Source organism: Homo sapiens, chromosome 11 (assembly GCF_000001405.40).
Source record: "Homo sapiens chromosome 11, GRCh38.p14 Primary Assembly".
Classification (NCBI taxonomy): Eukaryota; Metazoa; Chordata; class Mammalia; order Primates; family Hominidae; genus Homo; species Homo sapiens.
In genome coordinates, this window is record NC_000011.10 from 30733039 (window position 1) to 30749685 (window position 16647).

General features: G+C 36.9%; 2 long non-coding RNA genes across 3 annotated transcripts in view; one reads left to right on the forward strand and one right to left on the reverse strand.

The window, feature by feature from the left end:
* The window catches only part of LINC02859 (long intergenic non-protein coding RNA 2859), a 48403-nt gene extending 46513 nt beyond the window's left edge, over positions 1–1890 (reverse strand). The window contains exon 1 of the long non-coding RNA NR_187236.1: positions 1823–1890. This is a non-coding gene — a long non-coding RNA (long intergenic non-protein coding RNA 2859). The remainder of the gene's footprint in view (positions 1–1822) is intronic.
* LOC101928338 (uncharacterized) overlaps positions 1–16647 on the forward strand; it is a 74787-nt gene that overhangs the window by 2753 nt on the left and 55387 nt on the right. For both annotated transcript variants that reach the window (XR_007062640.1, XR_242862.5), the window contains exon 2: positions 8377–8548. This is a non-coding gene — a long non-coding RNA (uncharacterized LOC101928338). The remainder of the gene's footprint in view (positions 1–8376; positions 8549–16647) is intronic.

Here is a 16647-nt window from a genome sequence, read left to right on the forward strand (position 1 = left end):
AAGAATCCCATAAAAAGATGAGCTCACAATAAAATTTTTTTAATGAAATGAAAGTATCATAGAGCCAGTAAATGCAGCAAACAAAAGAAGTAGCACTTCTGAAAAATGAACAGATAAATTCACAAAAACTCCAATATAATTACATTTTCATTGAAATTAAAAACTCTTAGAATATTTGCAAAAGGGTACATACAAACACAACAGTTTACTTCTGAGAAGGGAAACCAAGGCAAAGGGGACAGGAGTAGGGCGGAAACTTACATTATGCACACACTGTCTTTTAATAAAATGTTCGGATTTTTACAGCTTACACTTTTAAAAATACACTTAAAAAAGCAGTCTGGTACTATGATATTATCATTGGATAAAATAGACTTTCAGGAAGAAAATGAAGATGATCTTTTTTGATCATTAAATTCTTTTTAACAATAGAGATAGAACCATCTTGTTTCTGAGTGCTCTAAAAATACAGTTTCAACATACATAAAGAAAGAACTAGACAAATACAGTATCATAATAAAGATGTTTGAATTATAACCTCTAGAAATTGGTAAGTGGAGTGAACAAAAATCAATTAGGCATATAGAAAATGCAAACAACACAACCAACAACTTTGATCTGATTGACATATGTAATCCTGTACTCAACGGAGAATATGTTTTCTTCTTGAGACCACTCATATATACAAAAATTGAGTAGTATCCTTGGCAAAGGAATCTCAACAGATACTGAAGAATCATTATCCTGTAGTCCACACTGTATGATGCAAAAACATCAACAATCAACTATAAAAAGAAGGAAGAATCCCAAATAGTTGGAAACGCAAAGTCCTTCTTGTAAATAATTCATGGGTTAACATAGAAATCTTAAGGGAATTTGTGACATGCTTGGAACTGAATGACAGTGAAATCACTACATATCTAAACTGTCAGAATGCAACTAGAAAAGGACTTAAAGGGAATATTGTAGTCTTAAATGCACACATTTTAAAACAGGAAATATTGAAAATGAGTAAAGCAATCAGCTCAAGGAGGTAGATGAAAACAGTATTGCACACTTGAAGTAAATGGAAAGAAACAGTAAGTGCAGAAAATAATAACATAGAAAACAAAAAAAGAAGAGAAGAAATGAAAGTTAAAAGCTGAGTCTTTGTAAAGACTAATGCAATATATAAACTGACAAGATTGATCATGGGGAAAAGAAACAGTACATAGACAAACAATATTAGGAATGAAAAAAGAGGATAACTTTAGATGCATTGAAGATGGTAAGACCATAAGAAAATATGAGCAACTCTATTCCAGTACTATTGCAATCCTACATAAAGCAGATAATTTACTTTAAAAAAACCGTGAGTTATTACCAAAGTTAAATCAAGAAGAAACAGATTATTGTAATGTACATCTAATAAGTGAAGAACCTAAATTAACAATGAGAACTTTATTCACCAAAAGAAAGTATCAGACCCAGACAGGTGTCTTTAATATTGACACATAAGCTTTATACGAATTATTCCAGAAATTAGACTGAGAAGAAAAGCTGCCCATCCACTGTTATGAGTCTATCAAAACTAGACAAAAAAGCATTTAATGGGAAGATTATGGACCTCGCTCACCAATGAATACAGGTGCAAAAAACTTAAATAATATATTAGCAGAATAAATACAATATTGTATTTAAAATACGTGGTGACCAAGTAGTATCTATTTCAACAATATAAAAACATGGTTATCATGGAAATGTTGTCAGAAAGATGTCCAAGTTCAAGCAACAGGAAACTTGTTTAAAATGGCTTGCACAAGTAGGCATTTATTTTACTCACATAAAAAGAAATCTGGAGGTAGTCAGTGGCCGGTGTTGGTTCAGTGGCTCACCAGTATCAGGAGTGATGATTCTTTACTCTTTTACCCATGCTTATACAGGGACTGCTGGCAGCTCTGACGTTAGACAAAGGTTAGAAAAAGGAAAAAGGAGGATGGGTGAAGGGTTCCATCTGCCATGTTTTTCTCTTTTATTTTTCCTGGAGTCTTCCTGGCAGAATTCCACTTAACAGATCATCGGCCAGACTGGCCAGAATGCCACCTGTAGCTGAAAGGGAGGTTGTAAAAGCAGTGAAAATATAATTATAATTAGCTTCCACCACTGATGCCCTGAACAAAATCAACATTCTGTTAGCAAGAGAAATGGGGAAGAATAACTATTTTATAGTCAACAAGTAGTGTCTGCCTTAAAAACCTAGCAGAGAAATTCACTATGTTAACAGATTAAAAGAGAAAATTGATATGATCATCTCATTAGATGCAAAAAAAAAGCATTTAGTAAAACAATAACTACTAACAAACTAGAAATTTCAGGAAATTTTGTCAACACAATAGAGAGTATATGTGAAAAACTTCTGGCAAACAATACTTAGTGCTGAAACTTTAGAAATATTATCTTTAAAGTGAGAAACAAAAGGAGGATACCATTATATCTGATAAACACACTAAAATATAGTTACATATTATATATATGTACTTGTATACATATATGATATACAAATATAGACAAATAAATTATAGCATATTCATTCATTTAGTGATATGCTATCGATCAATTAAAATGTTCAATGAATGCACTAGATCTTTACCTATCAACACTGATATATGTCAAACATATATCAAAATACTGAGTAGCCAAAGGATATATACCGTATATTGCCACTGAGGTAAATTTGAAAACCTTGAAACTACTACTATATATTATTTATTAACACCTGAATTTGTAATAAACATAGAAGTCATACCACCACTTCATCTAGAAAAAGAAGGAAGGAAAGAAGATAGATGAGGGATACAAGAAGGCGTCTACTGTTTAGAAATTCTTATCTTAAAAAAAAAGAGACTAAAGCAAATATATCAAAATGTCAGAATGTGTCCAATCTGATTATGGGTACATGATTCTGTTTTGTGTTCTTTTTTGCACACTCTAAAATGTTTTACCTATTTCATAAGGGTAAAAACCTCAAGAATATCTTTTGTCTCTGATGTCCCCAGTCTGTGACAAGTTCTAGAACCCCAAGAATTTTCCAGTGGTTTGTCTAATGTCCCACATGAGGGAGCCAGACCCTAAAGCTGCAAGTGTGCTGACCTCAATCATTCTGTAGGTTTCCTGAGCTCTTTGGTTCTCACCTCCCACCCTGGACTAGCACCTGCTGAGGTCTCTAAACCAAAAGCCTGTTGGTCCTGATCCTTGCTGCTTTTATGGAGCCCTGCAATAGTTTTCCTAGGTGGGAGGAAACAGGCATCCCTCAGTTTCACTCCTAGATGAGCAACTTTTAGCCAAAACTCATTGTTTCAGGCCCCAAGTATGATGGCCCTGTTCTATGTAACATATAGGTCTACCCTTCTCCTTTCCTGCCATGCTGGAACAGCTTCAATAGCAATGCAATGTGCCTGAAATCAGCCATACCCTTTCATCTGCCATGACCCCAAGATCCCTGAAATGACCCTGTTCTAACTGCGGGCAAGTGAGTACTGGTTCTTCTCTACTTTTAGGTGTTCCTTGAGGCTGTGGCTTCCCACCTCTGTTATTATCACTGCTAGTTCTCATCAGGGAAGTGAGGGGTGGGTCAGGGGAACGGTAGGAGAGACTAGAGATTCTGTGGAATTATTTGCACCTGACAGGCCTGGTTACATAATTTGTGGGGCCCCATGCAAAATTAAAATGTGGGGTTTTTTGTTTACGAACCAATTGTGGAGCCCTGTGTGACTGCATGGGTCACACATCTATGAAGCTGGCTCTGGCACCTAGCCTACTTCCTCAGCTGTGGTAAGTTCTCTTGCCTCCTCAAAAATAGTCCCTCTAACCTACCTTTGCCTACCAGCCAGATACCTCAAAGGATAAAATCTCTCCATCCTCATTCACAAGGACCACTTCATGAGCAGTGAATGATTGGCTGTACAAATACCCATGATCTTTGGTTTCCATGGTTAATAATAGGAAACGAAGAAGGAAAATAGTCTAAAGCTGATGTATTTCCCAAGGTCTAGGCTAGCTATCATACGTTGAGCATTTACTATGCACCAGAAACTGAACTAAGAACTTCATAAACATTATCTCATTTAATTCTTACAGAACCTTTGTATATAGATATTATTATATTCTAATTTTAAAGATAAAGAAACAAAGATTACAGAACTGTATGTTTTTTTTAGCACAGTTTTGTTTTACCTGAATTCCTATCTCTCATTCCCTTTTCTAGACAAGAAAAGAATCTGAGTGGTCCATTGACTCAGGATATGATTGGTTAACGTTGAACAATATTGATTAAAGACCCACTGTTCAGAGGACTAGATACTATGAGAAGAGCCACAAGACTTAAATTTCTCATGAAGTTTGTACATGCCCTGAGGACATGGCACTTATAAGTATACATGTCAATACATTGTGTGGTGGGCATTAGGACTGTTCACAGATATTCTCTTTTTTTTCTGGCACATGATAGGACTGTACTGTACCACCTACTTATGACCACGTGACTTGCTTTTTTCAATAGAATGTGAATCAGAAGTGATGTGTGTTATTTAATAGAAGAAGCATTAAGACTCTATTTCTCTGCTATATATCTTTCCCTCTCCCATGGAGATCAATAGCACTACGGATTGTGACTGCTCTGTCATCTGGGTCTCCAAAGTGAGAATAACAACAATGTAGAGCAGAGCTCCTAGATGACCTGCGGCAGACATCTAGTATTGTGAAATAATCCTTTGTTGTTTGAAGACTTTGAGGATTTGGGTATTGCTTGTTATTACAGCATAACCTAATCTATCCTGATTCATATGAAAGGAAGCAGTGCTAAGGGGAAGCAGTCCTATCATATCATTTATTGCATTAGAAAATGAAATAGTTGCAGATAGCCTGACCAGAAACACAAAATCAACTGTCCATAATTGACTTATCTTTCAACTTCCAACCAAAATATGATAACAATAGTAAAACACATATCCAGTGTTTACTATAGGCCACTGTTCAAAATGTTTCATGAATATTTACTCATTTAGTCCTCATGACAACCCTGTAAATAAGGTATTTTTATCTTCCTTTTATAGAGAAGGAAACTAAGCACAGAGAGATTAAATTGCCCAAGATCATACAGCTAATAAGCAAGGGGAGCTGGAATTTGAACTTCAGGAGTCTGATTCCCAAATGCATACCTTTTTTTTTTTTTTTTTTAATTATACTTTAAGTTTTAGGGTACATGTGCACATTGTGCAGGTTAGTTACATATGTATACATGTGCCATGCTGGTGCGCTGCACCCACTAACTCGTCATCTAGCATTAGTTATATCTCCCAATGCTATCCCTCCCCCAGCCCACCACAGTCCCCAGAGTGTGATATTCCCCTTCCTGTGTCCATGTGATCTCATTGTTCAATTCCCACCTATGAGTGACAGCCATCCCATTACTGGGTATATACCCAAATGACTATAAATCATGCTGCTATAAAGACACATGCACACGTATGTTTATTGCGGCATTATTCACAATAGCAAAGACTTGGAACCAACCCAAATGTCCAACAATGATAGACTGGATTAAGAAAATGTGGCACATATACACCTTGGAATACTATGCAGCCATAAAAAATGATGAGTTCATGTCCTTTGTAGGGACATGGATGAAATTGGAAACCATCATTCTCAGTAAACTATCGCAAGAACAAAAAACCAAATGCATACCTTTGACTACAAAGTTCTACTTCCTCTGTGTAACTCAAAACTTAAATTCCGGGAGCACAAAAGCTGCTTCAGAGTTGTAGAGAATATAGATTGCTCACCTCCTCCTCATAAAAGTCATCCCTCTCCTCCCTGTCCCTTTGCATCCAGAAATAGTACTCTGATTCCTTTGAGTAATTCCCTCTCTTCCACTTTCAGCCAACATGGCTTGGATGGGGTTGACACAAGTCCTGCTCTAAGGATACATCTGGATTGCCTTAAACCAGCCAGCCTGTTTTCTCTCTTGGATTGGTTTGGGGATTAGAGTCAGTGTGAAGAGGGGTTAGCTGGTGTTTCTAGGGAAAGGAAGGTTTCTTTCTCTACTATTGTAATTGGCAGAGTATGAGTGTGAAGCCTGCATCTGTAGCCACCTTAAAGCTCTGAGGGACATGATAGAAATTCACAGTGCTTGAAATGGAACCAACCCACAGGAAGCAAAGCCAAGAGCCAGATGCTACTGTCACTGTTTGAAGCCTGAATCAAGCCACACCTGAAGGCAGCTGTACCTGTGTACTTTTGAGTTTTATGAGCCAATTAATTTCTCTTTTTACCTTAATCCATTTTGAGTTGGTTTTCCTGTCACTTACAGCAAAAAAAAAAAAAAAAAATCTGAACCTATGGAAAAGTAAACAAAATGAACAAGAGCAACAGTAAAACACACAAAAATCTATGAGAGATATCAACTATTCATTTCTGCTTAAGGGGTGAAGATCAATCTGAATTATCAAAATGACTGAATCCAACATTATTAAACAGCAAGACAAATAATAAAACAGCAACTCCATTTCATCAGCTTTGGGAAATCTCTAAAAATGTATTCAATTGCAAAGGGAGGCACCCTGTAGATCTTAAATAGCTTGCTATACTTTTTTTTAAAAAGCAAATGGCTAAGAATTATTTCTAACTGTTCACCTTTAGTCATTGTTGGAATACAAAAAACACTGTTCAAGCACTGTTTTAAAATTTGATGGGTTTACTTCTTAGGATGGCTAAGATGCATTCTGTTACATCATTAGGCCTTCTTTGTAAAAAAAAATAATAATTCTAGAGACCCTTTCATGGCAGAAATTATTATTTGTTGGTCAAATGACCCAAAGTGTGTATGAATTTAATGAAGTCTTTAAGTAATTTTTAATTTTATCTATCACAATAGCATTCATGTACATTTGGAAATTAGTCACATAAGGATGTACTGGCTCAGTTCACAGTTATGCGTACCCTACATATGGATCCTCAGGGCATTAAATAACTGTAATATTCCCTCCCCAGCTGATGCTGAAGCCCAGTTTCTTTCTAAGCTTTCCAATTATTGCAGTTGCTGATTTGGTATGATCTACAACAGGAGTTGGAAAATATTTTCTCTACAGTCCCACATAGTAAATAGCTTATGCTTCATGGGTCATGTTGCAACCACTCAACTCCATTGTTACAGCCTGAAAGCAACCATAGGCAACACATGAACAAGCAAGCATGGCTGTTCTCCAAAGAATGCTTATTTCCAAAAACAGGTGGCTTGCCAGGTTTGGCTCAGAGGCCATGGTCTGTCTACACCTTATCTAAAATAACAACATTGTACTATTTTAGATGTGTTGAGAAATTTCCTCAAACCTTGAGATTCTTGATCCCTAAGTTGGAGTGGTTTTATGTGGCCAGACCATCTGACTTGGGGAAGAAAGCAAATATCTTGAATCGTACATCTTATGTCTTCCAGTTAGTGTTAACTATGATTACTAATCATTGTCAAATGAAGAGAGTATAAAAATAACAATTTAACATGTGCCAGAACTGTGCTGTCGGCTTTATTTATACGACATCCTTGAGTACTTACAACACCACCAGAAAAGATGAATATGTAGAGATAGAAAACCCTCATGGGAAAAAGAAAATTTATAGGTGTGAGACAATGAGTGCAATGGAAAGAACGTGAATTTTGGACAGATAAGACTTGATTTCAAGTCCTGGCTTCACTCCTCCATTCCATGTGACCTTGGCCAGATTTTATACCTCTCTTGAGTTTCTTCATTCATAATTGAAAATATAAAACTATATGAGAAAATTATGTTGTAATTGTAATTTATAATATTACCTATCTTTTAGAGACATGGTAAGGGTTTTTGAAGTGAGCAAAAAAATCATGTAGCACTGGAACATGGTAAGCACTCATTAAACCTGAGCCATTCCATGTGCTACACATAATGATAAAGTGACTTGCTGAAGGTCACATAGTAGTATGGGTGGAATTAGGATTGGCACTCCACCCCGACTGACTTCAAAGCTTGTGAACTTGCTACTGCATTGCACCGCCTCCCAGCTATAAATCTGAAGTGGTGTTATTCAACTCATGCATGGAAATTGCTCAGTGTATTAAAATATGAAATCTCCAAAGCCAGTCACATGAGGTGAGTCATCTCTGTTGGGCCATGGAAGCTGGGTGCATGTTTCTGGAAGTAAACATGATGTATCCAGCATATCTTGTGGCTGACGCTGCCATGTAATACTCGATTTGTCTTTCCTCTGCACGCAGACACTATGGGAAATACTCGTAACTTCTAAGTCTAGTTCAGATTCTCTTGGCTGCCGAATTCCGAAACAGTCATAAAATGTGATTTGCACTCCTAGACACTCAGGAATCTCTCCGTTACCTCAGAGAATCTGGCCACAAACAGGACTCAGAGTGGAAATTGCCCAACCTGTCTGCTATCACTCTCTTGAAAGAGACAGATCCGATCAGCATCTCTCAACTGTGACTCATGAGGTATTTTTGGCTATGTCAAGAACATTCTCAAACAAGGTACGTTTAATGTATACATTTTAGAGTTGGAAATGAATGGAGAGAACATCTAGATCTACACCCTCATTTTTCAAATGTGAAAATCAAGGCTCAGGGAAGTTAAATAACAAATCCAACACTTCTAGATTCCAGTCCCTGATCATTTCCCCACCCTAAATATAATCTGGGGTGGGGAGAGGGAGAGAGACACTTAAACCAGGGTTACGAGATTTAGCAAATAAAACTACAGGAAGCCCAGTTAAATTTGAATTTCAGTAAAATAACAAATACTTTAAAAATATAAACATGTCCCATGCAATAGTTGGGACAATGTTTGCAACATATTTATACTAAATAATTATTCTTTATCTGAAATTCAAATTTAACTGGGCATCCTGTATTTCACCTGGCACCTAGTCCAATCAAATAAGCAATGCCAAATTTCTACCTTCTGAAAAATATTTGAAAGTGTCAAGTTAGAATGTGGCTTAAGTGGAAGGATAGAAAAAAAAAAAAAAAAAGAAAGTAAAGAAAAACCCTGAGTAGACAGGAAGAACTCAGGTGAAAATAATCAATGACTAGAAATGAAGTTAATGAAACCCAAGAAGAATAAGGAAGAAAGAAGAAAAGGAGGAAGGCAGAAAAAAACAGACCCCCTAGAAGGTGATGCTCTCTCCTTCATCTGAATCAGCTTGACAAAATAATGTTCAACCTACTGTCTTTTTTTGCGTCCCCCATTCGCCACTTGTCCTTCCTGCTCCAGTGTTACTTTCCCTGCTATATACAACTACCTTCCTTCTTCTCTGCTAAAATTGTATTATATTTAAGTTGTAAATTTTAAGTCAAAGCCATACATTTAGATAATTTAAAACTTAAAGAGTACTGAAAAGCTTAAAAAGAAAAGCTCTAGTCCTTTTCCCCACCTCTAGGTTCTTTTGAGGAACCTAAATTAGGGTAGCCAGATTTGGCAAATAAAGATACAAGATGCTCAGTTAAATTTGAATTGCAGGTAAACAATAAATACCTTTAAATATAAACATGTTCCATGCAATAGTTGGGACAATGTTTACAATGTACTTATACTAAATAATGATTCTTTATCTGAAATTCAAATTTAAGTAGGTATCCTGCATTTTATCTGTCAAACCTACCCTAAATCAAATAAGCCATACTAAGATTTCTGTCTTCCAAAAATATTTGAAAAACTACTTTTAAACTTCGTATCTATTTCAAAGGTGACCAGCAGTTCCCTTTTCCCCAGAACTGAAGTGTTTCCTGAGATGGGGGACTGTTGGTGGTAAAACCAAGACAGTCTTAAATAAACATGTATTATTCGTTGGTCACCTCATTTCTTATGTTAAAGATATTTCCATCTCACTAAACAATAAACCTTATTTTTGCTTATCAGTTTGAGACATTATCGTTAATTTCCTACTTTGAGAAGTGAGTATCTGTTTTGGTTATTTTTAAACGGTTGGTACAAAACCGTTTCCACATAGCACAAGTTCACCAATTTGGCCTAAAAGCCTTCAGAGAGTAGCTTCAGAGAGAATGTGTTTTCTCTAATCAGAGAAAACAAGAATTATGTTGTGTGAGTGTCAAGTTGCCATTTTATTGTCCCACTGAAATGCTTTCCCCCACCTAGGAATCCTTTTAAATTTTCTTAACTTTAATTGCCTTTTTCCCCCCACAAAGAAGTCAATTTAAATTAAACAGAATCCATCACTGTGATAATTTTTTAATGAGTAAAGATAATGTACTCTACAGAAATTGAAATAAGGTGTTCCCAGGATCATTTGCGAAGTCTCACAAAGTCCTCCTAAGAGTCAGCTGAAATTAATGAATCTCAGTCTCAGGACCGTCAATGCCATGTAACTGAGGGCTAGGTTCAATGGAAAAAAACCACACACAATAATAATAGTTACACTTTCCAATTTGAGCATTTAGCTCCTTTCGTTCCAAGATCCTGAGGAATTTTATAAACATTAATTAAGCTCACAGGTGTGATTTATTAGATTAACTCACTGATAGACATCAAGGACTTTTTAATAAAGCTGGATTAAAAAGAGGAATAAATTAACATCCCAGGAAGATTTCCATGCTGGGGTGGAGCCCCCAGTATTGGAGGGAAGGTCAAGAAAAGAGATGTGCTCCTTAGCTCAAATTTCTTGAACTAACTCTGGTCTCAATACATAGTGACGACAGTTTGATGCGTCCTAATCTCCATTGAAAAATACCCCCTCCACAGCTTATTTGAGCTTCTCTTTATTGTTTCATCCTCATTCTTCCACTGGGTTTCAAAGACAAACAATGGCTTGTGAAACAGGTGACCTTCAGTTCAACAAGAGAAGTTTCTATGCTTTGTGGAAATCTGAACACATGTTTGGTGATGCTTTTAGGGTAGAAGAGGTAGTCGTGGTACTGATCCAAAAACTAGGTTTTATTTTATAGGTTACTCAAGCCCTTCTTGGGTGGAGGGTAGGGTAGGGAAAAGATTTTTGGTCCTGTATTGTGGGCAATATGTTGTCCTGATAGATTCCTTTGTCTTAAGAAGGCAAACGGCTGCAAATTAAAATAAATTCTCAATAATAGTTTTCAATAATAGATTGAGTTTACGGAGATACAAAGAGAATTTCCATTATCCACCCTGTGAATTGAAGGGATGGATTAGCAAGGATAATACAAGAACAGTAAACTAAGTGATGTTTTATTGTCTTGTTTTAGCAAGTCCTGAATCAAGAGGGGATCAAATGTGAGGAGATTGGGGAATTGGAAACCCAACTTCTCATAAGGTATGAGATTCTAAAATAGAGCTAGAACCCTAGACTTTAATCTTTTTCCTCCAGGATAAGCAAATTCAATCCCCTCACTATACAGATGATACATTTGAGTTCTGGAGAATTAAAGTGACTTGAATAATTTAAGAAAGCTAATTAGTGGCAGATCCAGGATGTGAGCCCATGCCTCTCTCCTAATTCCTGTACCTCTGCTATAAAACCACATGGACATGTTGGCTCTTTCCTTCTAACATTACATTGGCTGAAAGCATTTTCTGGAGTCAGAAACAAGAAGCAAGTTTGCTTATCTGACAGACATAAAACAAGGGGAACAATTAGTGTAGCTTTCTTGGGAAGGTGACAGTGATTTTAAAAAACAGCCTATTAAATATGCAAAGCAATGGAGGAAGGCAGCCAAATGTCATAGGTAATCCAGAAGGAGAATAATTCACCTTTGGGCAACAGAATTTGCTATTATCTGTAATGTTTAAGCCAATGTTCAACATGAGATATCAATTCCCACATTTTTAGCTATCTAAGAGGCTTAGATGGCTATATTCTTAGAAAAAAAAAAGGGTAACAGGAATTATAATATTTAAGGAAACACTAGGTTGATCTTGGGAGAAAGATGGAAATAGTAAAGGCTCATGAATAATAATAGTAAAGGCTCATGAACTCTGGATTTGAAGAACCCTAAGCAGAAATTCCATCTACAATCCCCCTAGCAAATAACCATCCAACTACAGATCAACTCCACAAAAATAGGGAACTTACTAATTTAGGTGGCAGGCCTTTCCTTGTTAGGCAGGTTGTATCATAAGCATGCTCTTCAGTACACTGAGCCAATATGCTGCTCCCCTATGATAACTGTCGGTGAATAACTGTTGTTCTATGGTTCAGCCCTACAAATATTTGAGGTCTCTTATTTTCCAGGTTGTACTGAATTTTCTCTATTGATTCCCCTTCCTGAACACAGTCCATGGTCCATTCTCTGCCTTGTACGCCCTAGTATAGGTTCCAGGAAGCTAAACCTTACAGAGAGAAACACAGGCTCTCTTGCCACCTGATTCTCATGTGGGTTTGGTCGAGGAAGGACCAAGAGGAACTTGGAAATCAGAAGGAAAAAGAGGTAGGGAATTTCCTTCTTGCTCTTTACTGGTGTCTACATTTTTGGTTGTGTTTATGTCCTTTTGTGACTATGGTTCCTGTCCAATAGTCCTTCCTCCATGAATCCCTTAACCTTGTCTACACCTTTGTAAGCAGCCACTTCATTAAAGTCCCTTGAACTATCTGAGCTGGATTCCGTTTCCTGCTAAGACTCTTGTTGATATACAGGTTAAAGAAGCATTCTCTGTTTCTGGAACTTCTCCTCAATTAACATGTTTTTCGGACATTCTCATTATTTTGGCTGCTTTCATTTGGTCACAGTCTAATTGTTCAAGTCCTGCCTAAAGAGTTTCATCCATAGTGTGGGCCACAGCATTTCATATTTAATCTATTAGTGCATCACTTTAATCTCCCTTGCCAATGATGTCCTTTCTCTATTAATTCATGTTGTATCTTTCTTTTCTTTTTTTTTTTTTTTTTTTTTTTTTTGCTATCTTACACGGGTGCCTCACCTGGAGCTTGCATTCAATGCAACTCCTAGATCTTTTTTTTTTTTCATGTGATTTTTCTATTAAGCCAGGTCTCTCTCATCTTCCATATTTTGCTCCTTGTCAGGAGACTGAATTATTTAAAAGGCCTGGCCCTGGTATTAACATGCTGGTCCTGAATGGTGACAGAGCACAGGGACACACTATTTTAAAAACACTGTTAGGAAAGAACATTTTAGTTTCTCTTGTCCTAGACTCTGTTTGTTCTCAGACACTGTGTCATAAAATTTTCATGGACATTAACTTCCTTTGACTTCCACGGCCTTGTCTCTCCTGGGCCCTGTCTCTTCTTGATTGTCTTGGGTTTTGTTAACTACTTTTTCTTTTTCTCCTCCTTTAGTTTAAGTATTTCCCAACATTCTCTCTAAGGATTTTGCCACTTCTTTGCAGAACAAAGAATGCACACCTACCAAAGGGCTACTTTGCACTCAGCACTGAGTAAGTCACTTTCCAATCAATCATCCCAAAAACCATCTGAAATATTTGTGTTCTTACTTGATCGATGAGGAACTTTACCTTATGCAGTGAAGAATCTAAGAAGAGAGAGGTTCTACCTCAGAGAAGTGAGCCAGACCATGTAGATGGTGGGCTCTCAGGGCAGGTTGGCCAGGGGATCCGTAATGACCTCTCTGTTTATATCGCTACGCAGTAAAAAGAGATGAATCTAAAGGAAACACGTTGTACGTGTAGATAGTAGAATGGCTTCCCAAGAGGGACACTAAGTTACCTTTATTGCTATTACTGACCAGCATTGTCATTTTATAAGTAGATTTGTCTGAGCGCCTTAATGGTAATATAGCTGGGCAAAGGGTTGATTACTTATATTTCATGAGAATAGATGATTAAACATTCTCAACCTAAAGAAATGTTATTATCTTTATTACATTAATATTTTGTTAAAGAAAGAGGATTACAGCATTATTTACAGTTACTGATCTGTGGATTAATAGGAAACACTGCTCTTTAAATATAGTAATAACATGTTAGTTACCAAGAAAACTGAGGCCTGAGAGGTAGAGAAATTCTGATGAACATAAACAAATTGGGTATAAGAATGGAAAGCAAATCATTTTTACGGCAAATGCATCTGAGCAAACCTGGAATAATACTATTTTCTAATTGTCAATAACTGTCACCCCTTGATTACAGATGTTTATAATACATAATAGAAATATATACTATATATTGCCCATTAAAATTGGCAAGCAAAATAGAAGCTCCAGTATTTCAGAATTTCTTGAAAAGAAAATTGGGGGAAGGGGAGAATACACACACATACACACACACACACAGACACACTCACAAAATAAAACATATTATGCCAAGCCCACACTGTAATTTATCAACTGGGAAGGAAATTGGCATGTCTTTTCCTGCTGATTTATTGGTTAATTCCAACAATTCATTGTAGAAAAGGCCACCAATGAATTACAGTGTGGGAAAAAAATTAAGCGGAGCATTTAGAAAGGTGTTTCAGAATACAGCCTTTAGAAACAACTTACATAGCTATTTTATAGCCAGTCCCAAAGCAATTGGTGCATGTGAAATGCAGTATACAGTTACAGAAAATACACCAGAAAATGCCGTGCATAATGCTTCCCATATTTAGAAGAATATGCCATGTCACATGAAGATTAGATTTCTCCTTTATCTTTAAGCTAGAATCATGTAACATTAGATCTCTCTTACTATTTGTTGTAGAAATCATGTTGGAAGGGCAGTAACAAACATGAACTATGTTAGCAAAGTCAGTGATGGACACTGCTTTAGTGATAGAGACATTCGTCTTTTAGTCCAAAGGGGATAGAAACTTTCATGGGGTGGAACAAAATGCTGAAATTTTGCATTACAAAAATCAGGATACACTACCATCCATCCTGTGTCCCAGCTCTAACCCCAAGGATCTAAGGCTAATAGAAGAAGGGAATTTCTCCATTAACAATTCCATTTCTAATTTCTCAAACCTGGTTTAATCAGCTGGTTGCCCCTCTTTGTTTTCAAAAAGGAGTCTCTGAAATGATTAAAGATACGTGTGATGGTTAATTTTATGCATCCGCTTGGCTGGGTCTTAGAGCACAGATATTTGGCCAAACATTATTCTAGATGTTTCTCTGAGGTTTTTCTTTGTTTTTGTTTTTTGGATGAGGTTTATATTTAAGCTGGTAGATTTTGAATGAAGTAGATTACCCTTCATAGTATGAATGGACCTCATCCAATCAGTTGAAGGCCTGAATAGAACAAAAGACTGACCTCCCTGAGCAAGAGAGAATTCTGTGGCAGGCTGCCTTTGGACTTCAACTGCAACATCAGCTCTTCCCTGGGTCTCCCACTTGACAGCCTTCGAACTTGAACTGTAGCATCGGCTCATCCTGGGACTCCAATCTGCCAGACCACAGCAGATTTTGGACTTGCCAGCCTCTATAATCACATGAGCCAATTCCTTAAAATAAATATCTCTCTCCAGACACACACATTTTATTGGTTCTGAATAATACACTCTTCATAGTCTTCTTCTTGTTATTATTCTTCAGTGGGAAAGGAGGATAAGAGCAAGTATATACTGAGTGCTTACTATGTGCCAAACATTATGTTTATTTATTTACTTGTTTATTTTTAGAGACACCATTGGCTCCTCACAATATCTCTATGAAAAATGTATTATCTCTAACATATAGATAAGAAAAAGGAGACCCAAGGGGATTAAGCTACTTTCCAGTGGCCACATATCTTGTGTGGAGCCTCTGTGGAGATGTCTGACTCCAAAATCTATATATATTACGTTTATTTGAGTGAGTACTTTTTCTATTTTTATGCTGTTTTCTCATGTGACATGATAGATACTGCTAGAAGCACATCTATATACTAAAGTGCTCCTTTGTAGAGTGAAAACCACCATTTTTTTAGACCTACTATGCACTAGGCACTGTGCCACTTTTCCTATATCATCTCTAATCCTCATTTTAACCCTGTCAGCGAGGTAAAAGCACTTCTATTTGACACCCAGGGCCACTGAGGCTTAGAGAAATCATATAACAGACCCCAGGTTACACAGCCAAGCTGGGGTTCACCCCTGGGTTTATATGATTCCAAAATCCACCCTGTTAACTCCTACACTATGCCTCATGCTCATTTCCTAAGGATTCTGCATCAGTGTGTACCCCTAAATCATAACCCTTGGTTTTCAGACAAAAGAGCTTCCATGTTGTCGAATTTTTTTCTCACTGGCTCAAGGAAACAGCAGAAGGGTTTCTATCCTGCAGCATGCTATTTTCTGAATGGAAAAGAAAAAAAAAAACCAGAAATGTTTCCAAAAGAAAGTACAGAATATGTGCTATAAATTCTAACATGGTCTTTCTATTGACAGCAGAGTCTAGGGTTGCCTGAGCCACAACACTCTACTTTATGTTGCAGCAGCAGAGACTTCACAGCAGGACTCCTTAAGTCTTTCCGGTTTGCTCCTACAAAGTGATCAATAAGCATCCTCTTTCCCTTTTTTTTGTCCCTTTTGGTTGTGTTTACTTGGTCTAAAAAACAAAGAAGGGGAAATAAGCCCCTTGTTGGGGGGTTTTCCCTTACTTGCCCTGTTTCCTAATCACACCAGGACGTTATTGTCCAAAGCCACATTCACATTTAGAAATAAAAGAGAAATGGAATAAAACTTCAAGAAAAAGATACGAAAATGATGCTG